Source organism: Homo sapiens, chromosome 5 (genome assembly GCF_000001405.40).
Source record: "Homo sapiens chromosome 5, GRCh38.p14 Primary Assembly".
Taxonomy (NCBI): domain Eukaryota; kingdom Metazoa; phylum Chordata; class Mammalia; order Primates; family Hominidae; genus Homo; species Homo sapiens.
In genome coordinates this window covers 150379175-150401384 of record NC_000005.10, presented here as the reverse complement: position 1 = coordinate 150401384, position 22210 = coordinate 150379175, and the positions used below count along the sequence as shown (strand labels likewise).

The following is a 22210-nucleotide window of genomic DNA, read 5'->3' as shown; positions in this document are numbered from 1 at the left end:
TTGGTACAGCTTTCATTTTCCTATGTCCCCAATTTCATTTCTATACTAAGAACAGTGTGAATGTGATGACAGATGGCAACCGACATAGGGCCTCCGTGTCAGGATGGACAGGAAGTAGGGGACTGTGGAGAACTGGGTGCCCATGCCTTACCTAAGGGGCTGACTGCTACTCAGCTCTATCTGGTTGCTGCCAGGAGGAAGCACAGCCCCCGTTGCCAGATGTTATCTTTTTAAGAGGAGCCAGAAATCAAGAACTGCAGTGAAATCACCCCATTTTTAAGTTTAAAGTCTTGCTGTGGGTCAACAAGGCCCAATGAGGACACTACTCTGTAGTTCTGTTCTAGAGCAACATGCTTGAGAGGAGAGAGGCCAGATGGTGGAGGGTCTGGCCCCGGGCCCCGAGTCAAGGGTGCAGCTGGATGCCAACCTGGGTCTCCGACACCTCCAGCCATGCATTCCTTTTCTGCACTGCCTCTGGCTGTTTCCAGCATGAGGCTAAAAGCTCTGGAGACCATCTCCAGGACCCCTGGTGTTCCACATGGCTCTGGGCCCAGGGAAGTGGGCTTCTGCATTTCCAGGCTGGAGCAGCAGACCACCTCCTTTGCTATCCCTCCCCTCCCTCAGTCCACACCCAAGACATCATCCTGTCTTTCATGTTCATCCACTTCTTGCCCTCACCACCACAGAACCATGGTGAGCTCGATTTGAGGGGCAACTCACTTCCGATTTTCCTAGACCTGCTGTGCCTGCCACAGCTGTTCACCAGGCACCTCCAGGGAGCCTGCCCCTAGCTCGAGGCCTAACTCGAGGATTCTCAGCCCCTTCCATTTCTTGTCTTTGGGTATTTACATGACTTACTCTGGCAACAGGAAATCAACCATGACCATCCTTTAGTTCCATCCTTTAGTTTAGATGCCACCTCATCCAGGAAGCCTTCCCCACCAATTCGGCACTCAGGCACTTCACTGCTCACTGCCTGTCCCACTAACCACGGTCACCCATAGCCTCAACATGCAGGCAAGAGGGAATCCCGAGTGTCGGCGAGACAGTCCCTTCCAAGAAACATGTGCCCCAGATGCACTGGGAGCTTGCACCCTTCCTCCAAGTCTTTTATTTTTTTTTTGAGTTATTAAAAAAAAAACAAAAAACACAACCAAAAGAACTGACGAGAGGAAGACAAAGCCTCGGGATCAGCCAGAGACCGAGCGGCACGGGATGAGGCACAGGTCAGGCCTAGCTGGATCTGTGGAGCAAGGTGGTGGGAAGTCCCGAGGCCTTTGGGCATGTGGGGTCTGTGGAAGGAGAGGAGGTCACTTAAAAAAATACATATACTGTACACATCTATATGAAGCGTCCTGTGTTGGGGGAGTGGGGTGAGGTCATGGGAGCTGGTCCACTTTCTCCTTGGACCAGCCTCCCCGCAGGCTCACTGGCTTGGCCAGCACAGGGACCCCTGAAGCTGGCTGTCTTCTTCTGTGGAGCGAGGGAAGGTAACAGTTTAGTTCCAACCCATGGTGGGCAGAGGTCGGTGGAGGTCAGAGGCATGGGGATGGCCACTGCTCGGCTAGGAAATCCCTAGGGGAAGGAAACACATGCAGATGTCAAATTTCCTGACCCTTTTCCCCTGCAAGGAAAATGAAATCTGGCATCTCCAATGCAGGGGGGAGGCATTAACCACAGTGGACATTTTTTAGCACTTGGAATGTTCTGAGAACTGGGCTGAGTCCTTTAGTGTTTAGTTTAGCTTCACATAAGCCTCACCACTGGCCCAGGAGGCGGGCTCTGCATCACCCCCATTTACAGGAGGCTGGGTGACCACAGGGCCAGCAGAGCCAGGTGGAGCAGCTAACTGTCACCACCACTTGGCAGGGCCTGTCCTCCATAGGGAAGCATAGATCCATGGTGATAGCTCATCTTGAGTAAACCATCTTCCTTCCCAAAAGGAAATGCCCCCAAGTTACAGGATCATGAGGAAAATGAACCGCTCACAAGTGAAGGAGGAACCAAGCTGTATCCGACCTCACCTACAAACAGGCTCCATCCCAGGGCACACCCCCTAAAGCATGCACAACCCCTGCACCCAGGTGCACTCGGTGTCACCACTGCCATTACTGTTCTGGATCCTTCTGATGCTGCAGTGCCAGCTCCTGATGTCACCCCAGTGGCCCCATGGACCCTTGGCAACAGAACCTCTTTCCCCAGCCTCCTTTCCCCTTAGAGCCCACCTATCAGGTCTGCCTGGCTCTCTGGGACCACAGGGGACACCAGAGCTGTCCTCCCACCCTGAATGCTCAGGAATGATTGGGAAGCGTACCTGTGCCTGGTGCTGGTGCTCGTCATACAGTCTGCTCTGCTGTCTTCTTCTGTGAGGAGGGAAGTACGAGAGGCTCTCAGACCTGCAGCTTTTCCCCACCCACTGCTGCCCCCACCTCCTGAGGACTAGTGAATTCCCCTAGAATAGATACTGGGTCTGCAGCGACCTCCAAGGGCAGAGGCAAACAGATGTTCAGCTCTCCTAAATACAGCTGAGGCCCTGCTGGCCAAGGTGAGAACTTCATCTGTGTCTGAGGTGCTAAGGCCCCGCGCCGTGAGGACAGCTGTTGTTCAGGGCTAGCCTGCCAGCTGGGGCACACGCAGCCCAGGCAACGTTTCCTTTCACCTGGAAACCTGCCACAGTCTACCTGGTTTCCCTGTGCTGGGGGGAGTCTCTCCTTCCTTCCCCAACACCCTTCTACCTCCGGCAGGCCACTTCTACGGCTTCCATGTGCTCAGGGAACATGCCCTGCCAGCCTCTTCCCTGGTGTGTCACAACCCCTGACGCCCCCGACTGGGCCCCGAAAATGGGAAGGGGGCAGGAACCAGGTCTGGGTGTGTAGGAGGGGGCTTGGGTTTGGGTCTGTTTTCTGGCCTGAGACACCCCAGGAACTCTCTACCTTTTTCTTCTTTTTCTTCTGGGACGGTGACTCAGAATCTTTGGTTGAGGCCTTTTTTGCTTTCTTCTTCTTTTCTTTTTTTTCTTTGTCTTTTTTTCCTAAGGGAAGTAAAGTAAAGTTCCTGAACAACAGATGGTAATCCTAAGTGCTGGGGTCAATGTTGGGAGGTGCACAGGGCAGGGCTCCCAGCTTTCCCCACACCACCAGAAGCCATCACAACAGGCCAGCAGGGCGGGGCGTGGAGGTTCATTCCTGCAATCCCAGCACTTTGGGAGGCTGAGGCGGGTGGATTGCTTAAGCCCAGGAGTTCAAGACCAGCTTGGGCAACATAGTGAGACCTGTCTCTACAAAAAATACAAAAATTAGCTGGGGATGGTGGTGCACGCCTGTGGTCCCAGCTATTTGGGGGGCTGAAGCAAGAGGATCGCTTGAGCTTGGGAGGCTGAGCCTGCAGTGAGCTGCGTTCCTGACACTGAACTCCAGCCTGGGTGACAGAGCAAGACCCTGTCTCAAAAAATAAAAATAAAACAGGCTGGCAGCTGTGGTGATCACCCAGCAGGGCCAGTTCACCTGCCCCCTGGAGGCCAGCTCATGATTTCTGTCCCATCCATGGACCACCTGGATGACTACCATTTTTCTTTAGCTCAACTCACTTTTTAAAACTCCCGCAAATTTATTTTAAATGGACACTATCTATCCCTACTGTAAATGGAAATCTAGCACAGTTCTGAGCACCAAGGGGCTGCAAGTCCTGCTCTGAGGGTGCCCGACTTTTGTTCCAGAACGAGCTGGCTCTTCGGGCGTCACTGGCAACCCACCGTCCAGGGCGATGCTCGAGAGTGCTGCCTAGGTTTGACTCTGGCTCCACCTAGCAAAACTCTGTGGCCCTGAACAGCATCTCTACTTCTCCGAGCCCGAGCCGCAGTTTTCTACCTGCTGAGTCTCATTTCTACCTAAATGAGGTCCTGCTGCATGCGGAGTCTAGAACAGCACTCAGTAAAGGGCCAGTGTTACTATGGAGGGAAAACTGAGGTCTAGAGACAAGATGGGGTTTGGGATGAGGATTCTGACAGTCTGGTTCCTGGTCCATTCTGCACCCAGGAGCTGGCTGGAGAAGCAGGTTCCTCCAAGATCTGCTGCACTGGGCTTGGGGAAAGAGGACATGACTCCTCGTCCTTCTGGAGCATTCCTGGCAGTGCTGACTCAAGTGCTCTGGAATCGAGTTCGGGCTTTGCCACAAGCTGCCCCTGTGACTCTGGACAAACCACTTCTCAGCCTTTTTTTTTTTTTTTTTTTTTGACAGTCTTGCTCTGTCACCCAGGCTGGAGTGCAATGCGTGATCTCGGCTCACTGCAAGCTCTGCCTCCCGGGTTCAAACAATTCTCCTGCCTCAGCCTCCCATGTAGCTGAGATTACAGGTGCCCGCCACCACATCCAGCTAATTTTTTGTATTTTTAGTAGAGACGGGGTTTTGCCATGTTGGCCAGGCTGGTCTCAGCCTCTCTTTTCTACATGGGAGGAATGAGACCAGGTGCTGGCTGAGGGTCCCTCCCGCCCCCGTGGGGTGCCCAGCAGCCCTTGGGGTGGGCTGGGAGAAGCGGTCACTCACTCTTGTCGGATTTCTTCTTCTCCTTCTTGCTCTTTGGGTTGCTTTGATCTCCACCTTCAACCGTCCCCATCCCCTTCTGAAGCTCCTCTTCTGGCTCGTCCTTGGCCCCTTGGGAGCCAAGAGACCCCTTCCCTTTCTTCTCCTTGACATCACCACTTGCTTTGTCTCTCTTTGCTTTCCCCTTGGAAGTCGTGGAGGTCTTTTCTGGGGAAACAGAGGCCTCCCCACCTTCCCCGGCCCCCAGCTTCTTCTTCTTCTTGCTCCTGGGGGTCCTGGCAGCTGGCTGGTCTCCCGATAGCTTCCGCTTGCGGCTCTCCCAGCCCTTCCTGCTGCTCTCCTTGGTGGTGTCCACCACCTTCTTTCTTTCCTGTTCCAGCAGCTCAGTCAGGACCTTCACCACTGAGGCCTGCACCTGGGCCTCATTCAGGGGCCAGGGTTGGCCCAGGAGGCACTGGGTGATGTTGCTTTGCAGCGCCAGGGTTGAGGCTTGGGGGTTCCCAGCCCCTTTCTTGGGCTTCCGGGACTTCTGAGGTGTGGTGCCTGAAGCAGCCTCTTTTCCACCTATGGAGAGAGAATGTGGGGTCACAGATCTGGGAGAGTTGGGGGACAGATCTTATGGTACCTAAGAGCGAAGAGGGTGCAGGGAGTGACTCCATCTTTTCTTACAATGGCACAGATGGGGAGAGCAAGGCTTGGCGGTCACTCTGCCCCAGCTGGTCTCCTAAGCTCACACCTTTCCACCAATTTCACACCCTGACTTCATTTCTAACTTACAGCTTTTCCCTGTCTCTTTATACTAAAAACTCCAGTTAGGGTGGGGGACAGAAAATGACTCCAGAATGTTAATGAAAGGGCCTGAAATCTATCAATGGAATGAAAATTCAGAAAGGAGGGAGATGGAGTCTGGAGCTGGGAGGAAGGAGACCTGGGTTCTAGGTCTGACTTTCCCACCCACTTTCAGTGTGATTCTGGCCAGGACCCATCTCCTCCCAGGGCCTTGGTTTCCCTGTCTATAACGTGAGGGGTGGATGAACAGTAAGGCTTCCTATGATACATTGTAGATTTATAATAAAAGTGGGGGCCATGCAGACATTCAACTGATGATTACCCACACTCGGCCCTTCCTGGTCAGGGGGTCCAGGCAAGGTGGGGAGCTCTGGGTGCAGTGTATATACACGTGGTGGCTGACTAAGCAGGTTTACTGCCTGCCAGAGAGACTTCTGGTGCAGCCTTTGTTTAGAATTTTCCACGCCTCTGCTTGCCTTTGATAATTGTGTGCTGACTACACGTGTAAAAAAAAAAAAACCTTCCACAGCCCCCTCTAAAATGTCTCCTTGTCGCACCGCCTCTCACAGAGAATGTTGGGGAAGAAAGTGAGCAGCAATTCCTCTTCCGACCCAGCCTGGGGCAAGCTGCAGCTGAAAGCCCCATGACTGGGTCTCCTCACCGGCTCTAACTTCCAAGTGACTTGGAGGTCTCTGCCCCATTCTGGGTCTCATGGGCACAACACTCCTGCATGCTGGGCTCTGAAAGGTGGCTTGGTGGTTTGGTCCTGGAGGTGTTTGCCTGGAGGAAGGCCCAGGTGGATACTCCATGTCACACTCTATGTGGTACTCATGTCACACTGAGGCTAGGGCTGCCCCCTGCAGCATGCAGTGAGCTTGGCCCCTCAGCCCCAACCAGGATTTCTGGCGACTTTTGGCTCTAGAGCTGCGGTGGGCTGGGGGAGGTGGACTGGGCAGGGCAGGCCAGGTTAGGCAGAGGGGCCCCCGGGACGGCTGGAGGCCCAATTCCATCCTCTGGGGATTCTTCAAGATGGCAGGAGCCAATGGAGAGGGAAGCTGGGGAGGGCAGTTAGCCCCGGAAACCTCTCTCCCCAGAGCCTACGTTTCTGCTGCTGCCTTTTTTTTTTTTTTTTTTTTTTTTGAGACAGAGTTTTGCTCTGTTGCCCAGGCTGGAGTGCGGTGGTGCAATCTCGGCTCACTGCAACCTCTACCTCCCAGGTTCAAGCGATTCTCCTGCCTCAGCCTCCTGAGTTGCTGGGAGTACAGGCGCCTGCCATCATGCTGGCTAGTTTTTTGTATTTTTAGTAGAGACAAGGTTTCACCATGTTGGCCAGGCTGGTCTTGAACTCCTGACCTCAAGTGAGCCACTCGCCCTGGCCTCCCAAAGTGCTGGGATTATAGGCACGAGCCACTGCGCCAGGCCCACTTTTCTGCTGCTTATCTGCAAACACCCAGAACACCAAGGCTGGGGAAGCCCTGGAGCTGTCCCAAGTGTGCCCAGCTGGTACATATTTGACCCTTAGCTCCAGTAGGGTCAGGGAGTGTGGATGCCCCAGGTTAGGTGAATTGAATAATCCAGTCTGCCCTCCAAATACAATGTGACTATTTTCTACATGTGCCATGCCTTGACACAGACTGGATACATCAACTGCTGTTTTGTATGGTTAAGACACAGAGGTCCAGAGTGGCCAGGGGATTTCCAAGGCTTTACAATGAGTCAGAACAGCCTGGGGCCAGTCTACTGCCTGGGGTCTCCTGCATGTGCTGAGTGTCCTCCAAACGTGACTGTCAGCCTATTGTCTAAGCTATCCTCTGAGGCCCAAGGCCCACACCGTGAGCCTATTTACAGGGAAGAAAAGTTGATGGTGATGGTTGGAGAGAGCCAACACTTGCTCCACAAGCCAAAAGACGCAGCTTCCTCTGAGGCAAGGGCTATCCTACCAGGTGCATCAGCACCACCCAGGGCTGGATACACCCCCACTTCCAGGCTGTCCAGGGCCATGGGAGCCAGACACCTGGGCGTGGGGCCCACCTGTACTTTTTTTTTGAGACAGGGTCTCACTGTACCACCCTGGCTGGAGTGTAGTGGCATGATCATGGCTCACTATAGCCTCAACCTCCTGGCTTCAAGTCATTCTTCTGCCTTGGCCTCTCAAGTAATTGGGACTACAAGCGTGCACCATCACACCGGCTAATTAAAATAAATTTTAGAGATGGGGTCTCTCTGTGTTGCCCAGGCTGGCCTTGAACTCCTGGGCTTGAGCAATCTGCCCACCTCGGCCTCCCAAAGTGCTGGGATTATGGGCATGAGCCACTGCACCTGGCCCCACCTGCACTTTGATGAGCATCTTCAGGTCCAATGCAAGGCCACAAGGTCTCACTTGGAGAGGCTCTGGGGGCAGACAGGACCATGTTGGGAGGACTGTTGCTACAGGAGGGCAAGAAGGGGCCCACTGCCCTGTCCCTCTGTGTCCTGCTATGTCCCTCCTGCAGACCTTAACTTACCTGTTTTAGGGGACAACATGCCTGCTGCCTGTTGGGGCTTTGCCTCCTGCTTGCCATCTGGGTCATCTTTGGCGGCCAGAGTAGAGGAAACTGAGGGGCTGGAGTCTAGCTTGGGAGTGGCTTTTGAGGCCTGGGAATTGGCTGGGGTTAGTCCAGGGGTCATATAACCTGAGAGGAGAGACTGAAGAAGCCCATTGTGAAAGAGGCTGCCACCACCCCACCCCACTGCCATAACCCAGCCCGAGTCATGGCCTGCTGTGAGGAAAGCAGCCTGGGGCCTCTAGGATCACCCTGCCCTATCAGTGCAGAGTGGGTGGACAACAAGGCACAGAGCAGCACTTCAGCCCTTGGCGTGTGCCTCCTGAACTATTTTAATTAATACACTTTCTAGACAGGCACATTTAAAAAGGAAATTTCTTATTAATACAAATGGAAAATTACTAGCTTTTGCCACATACAGATAGTAACCTTAAAATAAATCTGCTAAAGAATGTTTTTGTCCGGACATCACCCAGAATCAAGGTCAATCCCTTCTACAGACCCCAAGGGTCAGCTACTCAGGGCTCTATGAGGGGACGGAGGCAGCCTGGCTGTGGTCTGCTGGCTGGGCCACACGTGGTGCCTTGCAGACAGGACCTTGCCCAAGGCCTCTGTGAAGAGAGGGGACCCAGACCCCTGACCTGAGGGATCGGGTAGACAGGAGCCTGGCCTGGGGCTCCACCCTAAGGCCTATGGGCTGCCAGTCCTCTCCCTTGCAGTTACCTGGGATGGCGCCACCACATCATCCTCGCTGGACTCTGCTGCGGTCTCCTCCACCAGGGTCTCTGTCCTGGAGGGGGTGGGACCTACTGGAGAAGCACAGTATCCTGTTGGTAGCCCCAGGTGGCCCCTGCCAGCCGGGAAGGGCAGAGCCCTTCAGGAAGGCCCTGGTCTCTCTGCAGGTCCCTCACCCCCATCCCCTGCCCCGCCTCACCACAAGTCTTCCTACTGCTTCAACACTCCTTGCACACTTATCGCTAGTCACAGCATGCTAGGTGCGACATTTGAATGCCAAAGCCTTATTTCTAATTCCTGAGGCCCCATTTCTATTTCCCTGCTTTCCACTGTTCCAGAAACATGGCCCTGGAGTTTTTGGGAGCCAGTGAAGGGAGTCTGATACCAAAAAGCTGAGAGTGGTCAAACAGCAAAGTCAGGTCTCTGAAATCATTTGGATTGACTTCCTCATGAAGTTGTACAGGTGGGGAAACTGAGGCCCAGGCTCAGCCACAGGTGCAGAATGAGTCTGAGATATGGAGCTGAGGCCAGAGCTATGGCTCCACCAGGCCACACAACACCCTCTTCCTGGCCCACCCTTGCCTTTCCCCTGGCACCCTCACCCAGCGTGTGGGCTGACTTGGCCCCCTGGGGCCCTTCACCATCTTCCTCACTCCCTGAAGAACTGTCGCTGCTGTCCTCACTGTCATCTGAGCTCTCAGGGGCTTTGGTGGCCTGCTGGACCTCAGGAAGCTTAGGTTTTCTGAGCTTGTTGGTCCCTTTGGCCTGGACGGAGGTGCTCTGGGGACTTGTTGCAGGGAGTGTTCCCACAGCACTGTCAACCTAATTCGGTGAAAGGAGAAGGAATGGAAGGAAAAATTAGGGCAAGTAAGACCTGGTCCTTCCTGAACACTTCAGTAGGGCCAGGAACTGTGTTAGATGGGGCACACATGCAGCCTCATTTGATCCTTCCAACTACGAAAGGTACTGTAATTCCTTCTTACAGATTAGGCCACTGAGGCCGAGGGAGGCAAACCAAGTGCAGAGGTCATGGGGCAGATGAGTGCTGGTGCCGCGATGCAGGGCCACGCCTGCACCTTCTACGCTCCGTGGGCTTGCTTCCCCTGGCTCCCCAAGCTCACCCCACTTGAAGGCTGGGTCCTGGCAACAGGAGGCTGAGCCTCACTGGCTTTCTGGGCGAGGACCTTCAGGGCAGCCTGGGTCAGTGGGAGGGAAGCTGGGTTCTTCTTTGACACCTGTGGGTGGCAAGAGGTAGCCCTCAGACTCACAAGTCCTTGGGATGCCAGCTGTGCCACACCCTGGTCAGATGCTGTCTGGCTGGGGTGAGGGCTGGAGCAGGGACTGAGGGGCAGTCAAAGGGGCAAAACTGGTGGCAGGCTTCAGGTTATGAGCGAATCACATTGTTCTCAAGGAGCAAGGGACAGTTCCCAGCCCAGGGCAGGGAAGCAGCTTAGGCCCCACTACTCAATCTGCACCTTCACTGGGGATAATCTCCAACCTGGTGGACCCCCATCTCTACTTCTTATAACCACTAGCAGTCAGGGAGAGTGGTGGGCATGGAAATTGGGCATGACCCCTTGCTGAGAGCCTTCAAATGTGGCGTGGCTCTTGCCACGGCCTGGCTCATCTCCTCTCCCCCAGCTCCTCATCCAGCTGTCCCCACCTCTCAGTTTCCCTCATTCCCAAGCGCTTCCCCCGAAGACCTGGTACCTGCAGTTTCCCTGCCTGGAGGGTGGCCCAGCTCATCCTGTGACTGGCTGCTTTTTCTGCTTAAGCATCGCTGTCTCAGGAGGCCTTCATATAGCAGGTCACCCCACTATTCTCTAGTTTTTATTGTTTCCTCTCCTACCAGCTGGTGAATACTTTTTATTTATATGTGGGTTTCCTTGTTTAATCGCTGCCCCTCACCACTCCCTGACTGGCCTGGGAATTCCTTGTCCCTGTCTTGGTTCCTGCAGTATCCCTAGGGCCTGGCAGGAACCGATGCTCATGGATGCAGTGACCACAGCCTGACTTCCCATCCGACACCCATGTTCCCAGAAGTTTTTGACCTGGAGCTTGTGATGAGCCCAGGGAGTGGGTGGCACACCAGCCCCACCGCCCCCCAACACCCCCTTAGCCCACCCCTCAGGAAGAGAGGTCAGAGTGTGTCATGGACTTCATCCTCTCAGTGGGATGGGAAACCAGACTGATATGGCCCAAAGAGCAATGAACTGGGTCTCAGAAGACCCGGGTTCCGGCCTTGCTGAATGCTGGTCACATCGCAGCCCTTGGGGTGGGGATGTGTGCTAAGTTTTATGATCTAAACAATGCACCAGCCATTAACCCTAAAATGCCCAGCTTTTAGATTCAGGCAAGGACCAAATAAAAATGCACTGAAGATGGTAAAGGCTTGGAAGAATGCTGAAGTCACTATTACAAACACCAAAAAAGGGCAACTTTTGTTCATGGCATTTCAAAACTGGAAGAAAAAAAATCAAAAGCCCCACTACGCTGGAAAATCTCATGAGGGACTCGAGTGCTGCAGGGCTTGCTTGGCCAGGAGGCTGTGTCCCCAGATTACTCTTCCTCATAACTCAAAGGTGATTTGGGGGGTTGTAGCTAGGAGGCCAGAAAGCCTCTGGCTGTGAGGCCACGACCTCTGGAGTGTGGGCGTGACAGCAATTGCAGGCCATCCCATCAGCACATGTGGGTAAGTATGGAAGTAGGGCCCCACCCCACTGGCCTGCATTACCCTCCCTTGCCCACCAGGTACCTGAGTGGCTGGTCCCTCCTGTTTCTTGCCATCTGATATCCGACTGGACTCCTTGCTGCTGCTGGCCCCAGCCATGCTGGCTTTGGGGGCTATTCTTGGGTGGGCAGTGGGCATGGTCACCACATTGGTTCTGATGCCTGAAATGGAGCGAGATGGGGGCACATCAGGGCACAAAAGCCCCATCGCCTCCTCAGCAGCGGCAATAACCCAATTTACCGGCCTGTGCTGGTGATCTAGAGCTGTGCTCAGGGCTTACAGAGGTAGAAGCTTGTTTACTTCCCTCTCCAAGCCTCCCAGGCAGGAGATGTCATTATGTCATTTGACAAGGCTCAGGGAGCTCAAATGGCTGCTCTGGGGGTGACCCCAGGCTTCCTCATCCCCTCCCCTCCCAACTGGTCGGGCTGCCACTCCTGAGCAATGGGCCAGAGCACCGGCACCAAACGACTCTCCTTGCAGTTAAAATCGTCTCTCCTAAGAGTCCCCGTGGTTATCTGCAGAGGCCTGGTTACATGCATGTTCTTCAAAGCACTGTTTATAACAGCCAACTCCCTCACCCCTCCACCCTGAAACAAAACCCTCTGCTTCCTCCAACATGGTGCTGGCTACACACACTGTAGCATGTCCACCCAAGGGATTTCTCTGTAGCCATTAGGAATTGTGCTGCAAATATGTAAAGATGAAAAAAACCCGATGTCATAAAATATCCAGTGAAGGTTACTGAACATTAGATACAGTATGGTCTTGCTTTAAAAACACACGTATATTTTAGGTTTTTATAAAGTTAGCATTTGTCAAATGTTAACAGTAATTATTTGGGGCAGAATTACAGGTGATATAGTTTCTTATGTGCTAATCTGTATTTTTATTAAAAAAATATACACACACATACACACATATATGTATAAGTATATGTATATGTACATATGTATGTAGGTAGGTAGATAGGTAGAGATAGGGCTCTCACTATGTTGCCCAGGCTGGTCTTGAACTCCTGGGCTCAAGCGATCTTCCTACCTTGGCCTTCTAAAGTGCTGGGATTACAGGTGCGAACCACCATGCCCAGCAGTAATCTCTATTTTGCCTGCTTTCTGTTTTTTTGAGACAGTCTCACTGTCGCCCAGGCTGGAGTGCTGTGGCACATCTCAGATCACTGCAACTTCTGCCTCCTGGGTTCAAGCGATTCTCGTGGCTTACCCTCTCAAGTACCTGGGATTACAGGCGCCCGCCAGGCTAATTTTTTGTATTTTTAGTAGAGACGGGGTTTCGCCATGTTACCCAGGCTGGTCTTGAACTCCTGATCTCAGGTGATCTGCCTGCCTCAGCCTCCCAAAGAGCTAGGATTATAGGCGTGAGCCACTGCACCCGTCTGCATTTTTAAATTGTCCTATCAGGATCAGGTATTATTGCTTGTAAAACTGTTACAATAACTGTAATAGTAACATTAACCCTTTTCCTGTTGTCATTGGTAGAATCACAGATTCTCAGAAGTCAAAGAAACCTCAGATTGGTCCTGTCTCTCTGATAGATGAAATCTATCCCTGTGATGTCTCTGGCTTAGGGATTGCCTAACCTACTTTACATGCCACCAAGGACGGGAAGCTCACTACCACCCTGACCACTTGTTCCACAGGCAGTCAACTGATACAGAATTCTTTCTTAGACTATGTAGGAACCTGGTCCCTGCAGCTTCTAGCCACTGGTCTGGGCTCCATGACTGGGGCTGCCACAAAAAAGCTCTGGCAACTATTCCCCCAGAACTGCAGGTCTGAGCCAGGCCCTAATCAGAATGGCTAATGCAGGGCCCAGAGACCTGACCCCAAGCCCCTCCCGACCAACACCTTGCTATGTGACTCAGCCAGTGTCCTGTCCCTTCTGGGCCTCAATGTGGGGCAGTGCTGGCAGCCCCTCCCACCACTGCATAAGGGCTGCGCTCACCAGGAGTCAAGCACTGTGTAGCGGGGATCACGTCCTCATCCTCGCTCTCGGAGGAGGAGCTCCTGGCTGTGCTCTCCGAGGCTCGGGCCTTCCTCGGGGTGCTTGCAGCCTGGGCTTGTGCGGGTGTAGCAGCTGGGCCAGCTGGACTACGATTAGGGTCGACAAAAATCAGAGGGGGTTTAATCACCTTGAAAAACAAAAACAAAACACCCCCCCAGTGATTAAAGGCTTGGCCAGGGAAAGGAGGTGATGGGGTTAGGGAGTGTTTTACAAGGCAAAGGGTCCACTGAGCTCAGGGGCAGCTGGGCACAGAAGCCATTCCAGCTGCCCAGGGTGCCCCCTCCCACCCCACACATCTGCTAAGACCCAGCACAGCACTTCACAACTCCCAGAGCCCACCTGACCCTCACAGTGAAGCCCTACATTCAGCAGGATCAGCTCCCTTATACAAAGTGGGAAAACCACAAGCCCAGAGGGAAAGGGAGCGACCCAAGGCTGCTGTCCCTACTGGAAGCAAAGCCACGGCCAGAATGTCCAATTCTGCCTTCTTTCCCCGGCTGGCTTCAGAAACAGTTACTTGCTGAATGCAGGGAGTGGTCTAAGCAGTTTTCCAAGGCTGCCTGGTTGGAATATGCAATTCACCTGGGGAGGTATTTACAGTCTAGTTGCCCCAACCCCAGAGGTTCTGATGCAGCCCTCCTGATACATGGCCCAGGATGAAACTCCCCAGCTATACCAATTCAGTTTCTTCAACAAAAAAATGCACAAGAGAAACAAGGGTTGGGTGAGTGGGTGAGAACCAACAGATTAAGACTTAGAGGATTAATAACTCAATGCCGTACGTGGCCTTTAACTGAACTCCATGAGACAATCAGGGAAATAGGGACACTGACTGGGTAGATCAACTTATTAGGTGTGACACTGTATCGTAGTTGTGCTTAAAAAGGTCCTTATAACTGAGAGCTGCATACTGAAATCCTGGTGGATGAGCTGACATGTCTGAGACTGGCTGCAAAGTAATCCAGGGGCGTTGGGGAACTGAGTGGAGGGTTTGCGTGAAACGAGCCTGCTCAGGAGTTCCTAACTGTTGAGGCTGGGGATGGTACGTGGGGGTTCTTTACATTATCTATCTTTGGGTATGCTTTAAATTTTCCAAGGAAACAATAAAAGAAAAAGCAAACAAGCAACAGCAGCTCCCTGGTATTCTGCAGGCCAGTCTGGTTTTGAACTGCACCATCCCTGAACATGTTCACCGCACACGAGGGCATCTCCAGGCCCATTTCCTTCCTGAACCTCCAGCTAACGAGAACACACATGGTTGTGAGCCAGGGAGCTGGTCAGGTCTACTTTCCATTCCCCAAATGTCAGATCTGGTTTGAGCTCTGCTCCCTCTCTGGCCAGTGAAGAGCTGGAGGGCAGGAAGAGGGAGCTGCCTGAGGCTAAGAGAGGAGTGGAATCAGGTCCAGACTGGTCTCTGTTTCACCATCCTGTTTACCCCCTGAGCCTGACTTAGCACACCTGGCTCCTCAGGGTGCTAAGGTGCTGTGGAGAGGCATAAAGTAAAAAGTAAAACAGAAAGGTGCCTGCCTGAGGGTGGAAGCTTCTCTGGGCTTAGGCCTTTCCTACCCCTGCCAAATAGCCTCCCCCGCGGCTGCTCCGATCTGCCACTTCCAGAGCCTTCCTTCCCACGATATAAAAAAGAGAAGGATGGAAAGTGGGAGAAGGCTTACAGTTGAGGGAGGGGGGATCTATATATATGTGAAGACAGGAACAGATTGTCGGGGACGAAGAGAAGCAACGAACCCACTGAGGCAAACAATAGCGTCTTGGGATGTTAAAAGCAGCTCAGCAGCAAAAGCCTCCTGTTAGTTCCACCTGCCCACGCCACCCCACTGGGCCTCTGGGCCGTAGGAGGGAGGTGGTGCAGGGGGCTTGGCTGTGGGGGGTTGGGGCGGGGCATTAGCCTGTAGAGTTCATAAAGGTGGGCAGTGAAGCTTGCCCAGGGTATAGGAGAAGACCTGCTTCTCATTACGCCTCTCTCATGACTTCACTGTGTGGTCAAGCCCCTCAACTTTCTGATCCTCAGTTTCCCGTTTAATGAAACGGCTAGTAGTTATCCCAGCCTGGGCTCATTCACTGGAGGGGTTCCAATGCACTGTGGAAACTGGAAAGCACAGTATACACAGGAATGTAGTTCTGGGGTCAGTTAGAAAAAAAACTGATGGGAGTGAAGCAGCAAAACCAGCACTGGCCTGAACATTTGGTTGTACCTCCCTATAGGTGCTGGGCAGTAAGGACCCAGAGGGAACCCTGGGATACCCCTCCTACCTGTAGGTCTGATGCCTGCAGAACCAAACCTAGGGGCTTTCTGGACAGTGCTCACCCCATCCTGTCAAAGCTGAGCTCATTCTAACTGTGCCTTCATTCCAGCAAGTCACAGAGTGGGGAGAGGGGGCTGATGGCCTAGGCTGCGGACCCTGGCAAGGGACATGACCACAAAGGCAACAAACACTCCAAGAACCTCTCTCAGAATTGCCTGAGGCTGCTTAACAGATCTAGGCCAGCCCCACTCCAGGGGACTGAGAAATTCTACTCTCTGGGGATGTGGCCTGGAGCCTCAAGGTCCACCCCACCAACCCAGGAAGTCTCATCCCAGAGATTGAGATGAATGAGGCTCAGAGAAGGCAAGTGGCCTCACCCAGGGCAACCAGCAAACTGGTGCCAGAGCCAGGATTAGAAGTTAGTTCTCCAGGCACCAGACTGGAGCTCCTTCTAGAACCAATTATGCTAGGCCTCAATGTAACACCAGAATTTAGTTTCTTACAGGTTTCCTTTTTCTTTGATTCAACCTAAAACTTTGAGAGCAGGGCCTACGTCTTTGACAAACTAATAGAAGAAGTTGGCCTTAAAAAATATTACCGACAAGTGAAACTGCATATATTTGTGGTATATAACATGATGTTTTGATACACATATACATTGTGGAATAGCTAAATTAAGTTATTTAACATATGTATCACCTACTTGTTTTTAAATCTGGAAGCTGTCCTGACCCCAGCACAGACTCTGGCCTGAGGTCTACTCTGCACAACAGGGCGGAGGCACAGTGAGGGGTCTAGGAATGGAGCCAAGGTATCTATCCCTGCCTCCCAGCCTGGGACTCTGCCCACCACCCTGGCCTCAATCCCTTTCCCCACTGATGGGCTAATAAAATCAGACTGAAACTTGTCAATAGAGAGGTGCTCAATAAATGTACAATAATGAAAATAATCATAATTAGTGAGCTGGGGATTAGGAACTAAAAATCTCTCAATCAGGAAGAGGCTGCAGCTTCCCCGGGCTATGCCCGTCTTCCCCGAATCCTCCTGGGGGAATGTACAAACCGCTGACTTCTTTTCTGCTTTTTAAATAGACTCCAGAATCTTCAGGACTAACATACCAATTAAATGGTTCAGTTTAAGCAGGATGTTCATTTTAATTGTGTTAGTCCACCCCCACAGAGAAAGGGGGAGCGGTCCCCTCCCTCCCAGTTGTTTAGATCCCTCAGAGAGGCAGGTGGCCTCGTAAAGGCTCCACACAGAGCCAGAGGGCAATGCCCAAGCCCAGGAGAGGAGAGTGTCGGGGCAGCACCAGGCAACGGGTCAGAATGTGAATGGCCTGTGCTCAAACACCAGGTCTGTCCACTTGTCATCAGCCATGTGATGCTGGGACAGGTCCCTCAACTTCTCTGAGCCTCACTCCCAGTTCCTTAAAATGCAAACAACAAAGGGAGCCACCCTCATAGGGCTGTTGTGGAGATTAAACAGAAAAATGAGAATACAGGGAGTTACCGATGTTGGTGGTGGTTGTTCTTTACTTTTGTAATCTGTGCCATTGGAAAGTGAGAGGCAGTGAGCACCCTATTGCTGGAGGTGTGCAAACAGCATCTGACCTTACTGATGAATTGATAACAATGTGGTATGTGATATTCAAGGGGAGGTGGTTCATGAGACCGCTCTGGTCTGGAGGTTGCAGAACTCCAGGATCTGTGGTTAGGCCCTGGGACAGGGGAGCTGGTGCTCTGAGGTGCCTGGCAGAAGCTTCTGGGAGCTTGGGGCTAGAGGAGGACAAAGGGTAATGCTGTCTGATGGAAGGGCCAGGGTTCACACAGAAGCTTGGACCACACCAGCATGGCTGACTTGGGCCTCTGGAGTACAGGAAGATAAGGTGGGCCTGGTCCCACCCTTGGAGGTGTAGCCTGAGCAGGACTGTGGCTTAAGCTCTGGGTGCAGTGGAGCACATGAAGGTATGCCACAGGTGCTTGAGAGAGGGTCCTGGGCAGAGCTCATGGGATTCAAGAAGACTCCTGGTCCTAAACAGAAAACAGAGAGATACAGGGAGCCAGGGGACCAGCGTTTGGACCTTTCCTCAGCCTCTTATGAATCATGAGAATTTGGGGAAACTGCTTCAACTCTAAGGCTTGATTCCCAATCTGTCAAATGGGGCAACACTCCCTGCCCTTCTCACAGTTAACAGGCACCCTTTCTTAGGCAGGGGACTGTGGCAAGTACCTTGTGTGCTGGCACCAGTGCACAGAGGCAGGAGAGAGGTGCCAGTACTGTCCCCATTTTATGGCTGAAACATTGAGCCTCACACAGGGGAAAAGGCATCTGCCCAGGACCATGGGGCTGTTGGGTGGAAGAGCTGGGCTTCGCCCCAACACCACCTGGCTCTGAAGCCTGTATGTTTAACTGTGTACTGCTGCCTGCCTCACAGGGCTCAGATGAATGTCACAATAGAGGAAAGAGCTCTGGAAGCTGTGAGGTGCTGTTTAAATATGGCGAGATTTTCCCTATGGGCAAGATCTGCCCTCTCCTGCAAGGCCTGCCAGCCCAGCTCTGATCCTGCAGCATCTGCAGAGAGAAGGCATGGCGCACCTGGGTCAGTGGCAGCTCTTCCTCACTGCTCTCCGAGGACCCCTCCGTGTTCCTCTCTGGGGGTGCTGGGGCCAGGGTCTTGCTTCTGGCAGGTTTGGAGTTACTGTCCTTCTGAGGGGACAAGACCTGGATAAGCACGTGGTCGGGGAGTGGGGCATTTGCTGAGGGGGAAACAGCCAGTAGGCAATGACCCTCAGGCACTCTGGTTTCCAGGGGAGGCAGCGTGGCCCCTTCCTGCACATGCACAGGGATACCTGCTGGCCTGACCTGCCCCACAGCCACTGGAAACATGCTTCCACCCTGCTAGCTCCTTCCAGAGCTGACTCCGAACATGAAAGGGATTTATGACTCCGATGCAGCTAAAACCTGAGGGCTGCAGGGCTGTTGGCCCAATGTCTCGACAAGAGGTGACAGCAGCCTGGGACAAGGTTGCAGGCACAAGCCAGTGGTCCCAGCACAGCTCACCTCCGGTTGTAACACCCCCAGCCAAAAGCAGGAGCCACCTAGAAGTGTTCCACTGGCTACCATCCCCTCCTGTTGGGGCAGGTGTGATGATGGGGGCTGGAAGGATGAGCAAGCACTGCAGTCAGAGGAGGACTCAGAGATCTGGGTGGAAATGCTGGTGGTGATGGCAGCTCAGTGGTCCCTATTGGAATGGGGGCCCCCCTTTTCCCTACTCAGCCTAGCCAAAAAAGTAGGACCCAGGCTGCCTGAGCTTCCAATTTATCAAGAGAAGCTGGAAGATTTGTACATGTCATTTCCAATTTTTAAATGGGGCAACTACAATGCACACTGCAGGCTGCCTCCTAACAGCCATGCCCCCATCTGTTCCTTGCTAATAGAACCCTCACTCTGTTCAGTGGCCCCTACCACATGCTTCAGGGAGGGTGGGCCCTCCTCCCAGCCAGTCATGGGAACTACCGGCCTCTTGTCTATGGCTAAGGCGGTAGAACGTCCAGCCTGAGGTCTGAGTAGCCTTAAGTCTACCCCCTAATCTCTTTTTTTTTTGAGATGGAGTCTTGCTCTGCTCACTCTGTTGCCCAGGCTGCAACCTCCTCCTCCACAGGTTCAAGTGATTCTCTTGCCTCAACTGGGATTATAGGCTGGTGCCACCAGGCCCAGCTAGTTTTTGTATTTTTAGTAGAGATGGGGTTTCGCCATGTTGGCCAGGCTGGTCTTGAACTCCTGACCTCAAGTGATCCGCCTGTCTCAGCCTCCCAAAGTGCTGGGATTACAGGTGTGAGCCACCGTGCCTGGCCTGCCCCCAGCACTTTAGGAGATGCTGCAGCCCTGCTATGACCATAAAGCTAGTGGAGTGCAGAGATGAAGAAATCTGGTTACCACTGACGCTCAGCTAAAGGAACCAGCTTTTCAGCAGCTGGAACCTGGGACTTTGTGCACTTTAAGACAGTCAATCCCCTTATTTAAGCTCTTTTGAATGGGGCTTTCTCCTACAGATTAGGCCATTCTGACTAAGAACTCATTGAAAACTTAAAAACAAAAAAACTACACAGCCCAAAATATGGCCGGGGCCTATGTCTTAGTCTGGCATTTAGGTCCTCCATAAATCTACCAGTAACAAGCACCTGGGAGGGCCTACGGCCTGCAGGACAGCTGCCTTCAGTGACCATGTGCCTTCATGCCCAGCCCCTCTGCACACACTGAGGGGCCTTCTCCACTTTTGTGCCTGGTCATCCTTCAGGTTCAGCTCAATCATCTCCTCCTTTTCTGGCCTCTCAGAGACCTGCTCTTTCAGCTGTCAGCACCACTAGCATAGTCTGCGATAATCCGGTCACCTGTCTTGCCCCACAGACTGTGAGCTCCTTGAGGGTGGGGCCAATGTCTTTCACCCCCAGTAATTGTTGGTTTGGTGTATCAAAGGCAGAGGTTAGGGCTAGGGAGCATTCATCTCAGTGCTTGTTTTACTCATGAAGAAAACAAATCTAAGAGGTTATGGAGCTTGGCCTGGCACAGGGACTTCCAGCTTCCCTTAAGAAATGGAAGACCTGGCCACACAGAAGGTCCATCTCCACAGTCATGACTGGCTGAAGCTGATAAGAACTGCCCCTCTGGATGGGGCAAGGGCTCTCCGGTCTGCCCTACTTGCTACCACTATCTACCATCTCTCCTGACATTTATCATCTCTTTTTTTTATTTTTGTGACAGAGTCTCACTCTGTTGCCCAGACTGGAGTGCAAAGCAATGGCATGATCTTGGCTCACTGCAACCTCTGCTTCCCGGGTTCAAGCGATTCTCCTGCCTCAGCCTCCCGAGTAGCTGGGACTACAGACGCCTGCCATCACGCCTGGCTAATTTTTGTATTTTTTTAGTAGAGACAGGGTTTCACCATGTTGGCCAGGCTGGTCTCGAACTCCTGACCTCATGATCCGCCCGCCTTGGCCTCCCAAAGTGCTGGGATTACAGGCTTGAGCCACCGCACCCGGCCGACATCTATCATTCCTGCCAGGCCTGCATCAGTCATTTCCATCACACACCTGTGCCTTGGCAGTGCTGGAGTTTGTCATCCTACACTTCTGTAGGATGTAGCAAGCCCTGCTATCTTCTGCAAGCAGACAGAGGGAATTGTTCAGATTTTCTTTCTCCCCACTCTCCAGGGTCCAGGCTTTGCACTAAGCTAGACAAGCCCTGCCTGAGAAGATGCGCCTGCCTATGTGAGGCTCCGGGCCAAGGTGCAGGATGAGACTTCCTCCATCTCTCCAGGACCTCAGGGGGACCTGTGCCACACTCCAAGCTTCCCTGGGACTCTGACAGGGAGAGTCATTTTGTATAACGTTAACGTATGCACAATAACTAACATGTAGATTCTTGGTCTCATATGCCTTGGTGGGAAATACTGGCCTAGCTTATAGAGCTGGTGGAGACCTCGACCTAGATATAGACCCAGGACACTTTTAGCTACGGAAGTCTTCGTTTGGGGGGTTTTAGTAGCAGGTTTTACCTAAGGAGATGTGGATGACAGCAGACGGAGGAGGGCATGGTGGAACTGGAGCCTTAAGCCTTAACCTGGCCTTCCTTTCTTTTCCTTACCTGGCCCTAAACCCTGGTTTTTCACTTTTCTTTTTTTTCTTTTTTTTTTTTTTTGAGACAGTCTCACTCTCATCACCCAGGCTGGAGTGCAGTGGCATGATCTTGGCTTGCTGCAGCCTCCGCCTCCCAGGTTCTAGGGATTCTCCTGCCTCAGCCTCCCGAGTAGCTGGGATTACAGGCACCCGCCACCATGCCCAGCTAATTTTTATATTTTTAGTAGAGACGGGGTTTCACCATGTTGGCCAGGCTGGTCTTGAACCCCTGACCTCAAGTGATACATCTGCCTCGGCCTCCCAAAGTGCTAGGATTACAGGTGTGAGCCACCACGCCCAGCCCTATACCCCCGTTCTGAGGAGTGAGTGTTGGTGGCTCAGAGGCCTGGCAAGTCTTACCTGGGCAGAGGTCACAGCTGCCGGTGCCTCCCCATCACTGTCTGATTCCTCGCTGCTGCTCCCTGAGTCATCCTGCTTCCCTGCCTGGGCAGCCGAAGGCCCTGTCTTCCCAGGAGGTGTTGGGGCAGCCCCTTTCCTGGGGGACTCCTTGGCAGGAGCCAAGGCAGCTCTGATCTGGTGGGTCTTCCCTGAAGGCTTCACCTGGAGGGAGAAACAGGATGAGAGGAGAGAGCCTGGAGGGTGGACGTGTGAGAAGACAGGAGCTGGATGTGGCAAAGGTGTTACATCCCATGTAGGGGATGATCTCCATTCCCTCCCCCTCACCTGAGCCAGCGTCTCCGCCTCCTCCTCACTGTCTGACTCCTCCTCACTGCTCCCTGAGTCCTCCTCTGGCCCTGTCTGGGCCTGAGCTGCTGTAGCCACGGCCTTCCCCACAGATGGCACAGATGCTGGGCCCCTCGCCAAGACGGTACTGTTCTGGGGGTTTCTCACTGGTGGCTTCACCTGAATTGCAGGGGGATAATAGTATTGGAGGCAAAAGTGATTCCTTTCAGGTCC

General features: G+C 53.0%; 1 protein-coding gene across 50 annotated transcripts in view, besides 5 other annotated features; it reads right to left on the bottom strand.

Moving 5' to 3' along the window:
• Positions 1092-22210, bottom strand: part of TCOF1 (treacle ribosome biogenesis factor 1) — a 42597-nt gene continuing 21478 nt past the window's right edge. For 2 of the 50 annotated variants that reach the window (XM_005268502.5, XM_005268507.5), the window contains 13 exons: positions 21977-22156; positions 21653-21853; positions 18213-18323; positions 13297-13483; positions 11362-11498; positions 9728-9841; positions 9209-9428; positions 8595-8680; positions 7833-8013; positions 4543-5103; positions 2934-3031; positions 2315-2363; positions 1092-1575 (listed from right to left, as the gene is read on the bottom strand). In XM_005268502.5, coding sequence (XP_005268559.1) covers positions 2337-2363; positions 2934-3031; positions 4543-5103; positions 7833-8013; positions 8595-8680; positions 9209-9428; positions 9728-9841; positions 11362-11498; positions 13297-13483; positions 18213-18323; positions 21653-21853; positions 21977-22156 — 2103 coding nt within the window. In that variant the 3' untranslated portion in view covers positions 1092-1575; positions 2315-2336. Of the gene's footprint in view, positions 1576-2314; positions 2364-2933; positions 3032-4542; positions 5104-7832; positions 8014-8594; positions 8681-9208; positions 9429-9727; positions 9842-11361; positions 11499-13296; positions 13484-16746; positions 17648-18212; positions 18324-21652; positions 21854-21976; positions 22157-22210 lie in introns of those variants that run through there. The other 48 variants (XM_005268504.5, XM_047417652.1, XM_005268503.5 and 45 more) reach the window with 27 other exon arrangements.
• Positions 1097-1176: an enhancer, noted in NCBI's record as "active region_23405". NCBI's record gives its function as "activates an Ori minimal core promoter by ATAC-STARR-seq in GM12878 lymphoblastoid cells {active_cell/tissue: GM12878}" and the evidence as "EXISTENCE:reporter gene assay evidence [ECO:0000049][PMID:35858748]".
• Positions 1247-1336: an enhancer, noted in NCBI's record as "active region_23404". NCBI's record gives its function as "activates an Ori minimal core promoter by ATAC-STARR-seq in GM12878 lymphoblastoid cells {active_cell/tissue: GM12878}" and the evidence as "EXISTENCE:reporter gene assay evidence [ECO:0000049][PMID:35858748]".
• Positions 1897-1966: an enhancer, noted in NCBI's record as "active region_23403". NCBI's record gives its function as "activates an Ori minimal core promoter by ATAC-STARR-seq in GM12878 lymphoblastoid cells {active_cell/tissue: GM12878}" and the evidence as "EXISTENCE:reporter gene assay evidence [ECO:0000049][PMID:35858748]".
• Positions 2247-2406: an enhancer, noted in NCBI's record as "active region_23402". NCBI's record gives its function as "activates an Ori minimal core promoter by ATAC-STARR-seq in GM12878 lymphoblastoid cells {active_cell/tissue: GM12878}" and the evidence as "EXISTENCE:reporter gene assay evidence [ECO:0000049][PMID:35858748]".
• Positions 3037-3136: an enhancer, noted in NCBI's record as "active region_23401". NCBI's record gives its function as "activates an Ori minimal core promoter by ATAC-STARR-seq in GM12878 lymphoblastoid cells {active_cell/tissue: GM12878}" and the evidence as "EXISTENCE:reporter gene assay evidence [ECO:0000049][PMID:35858748]".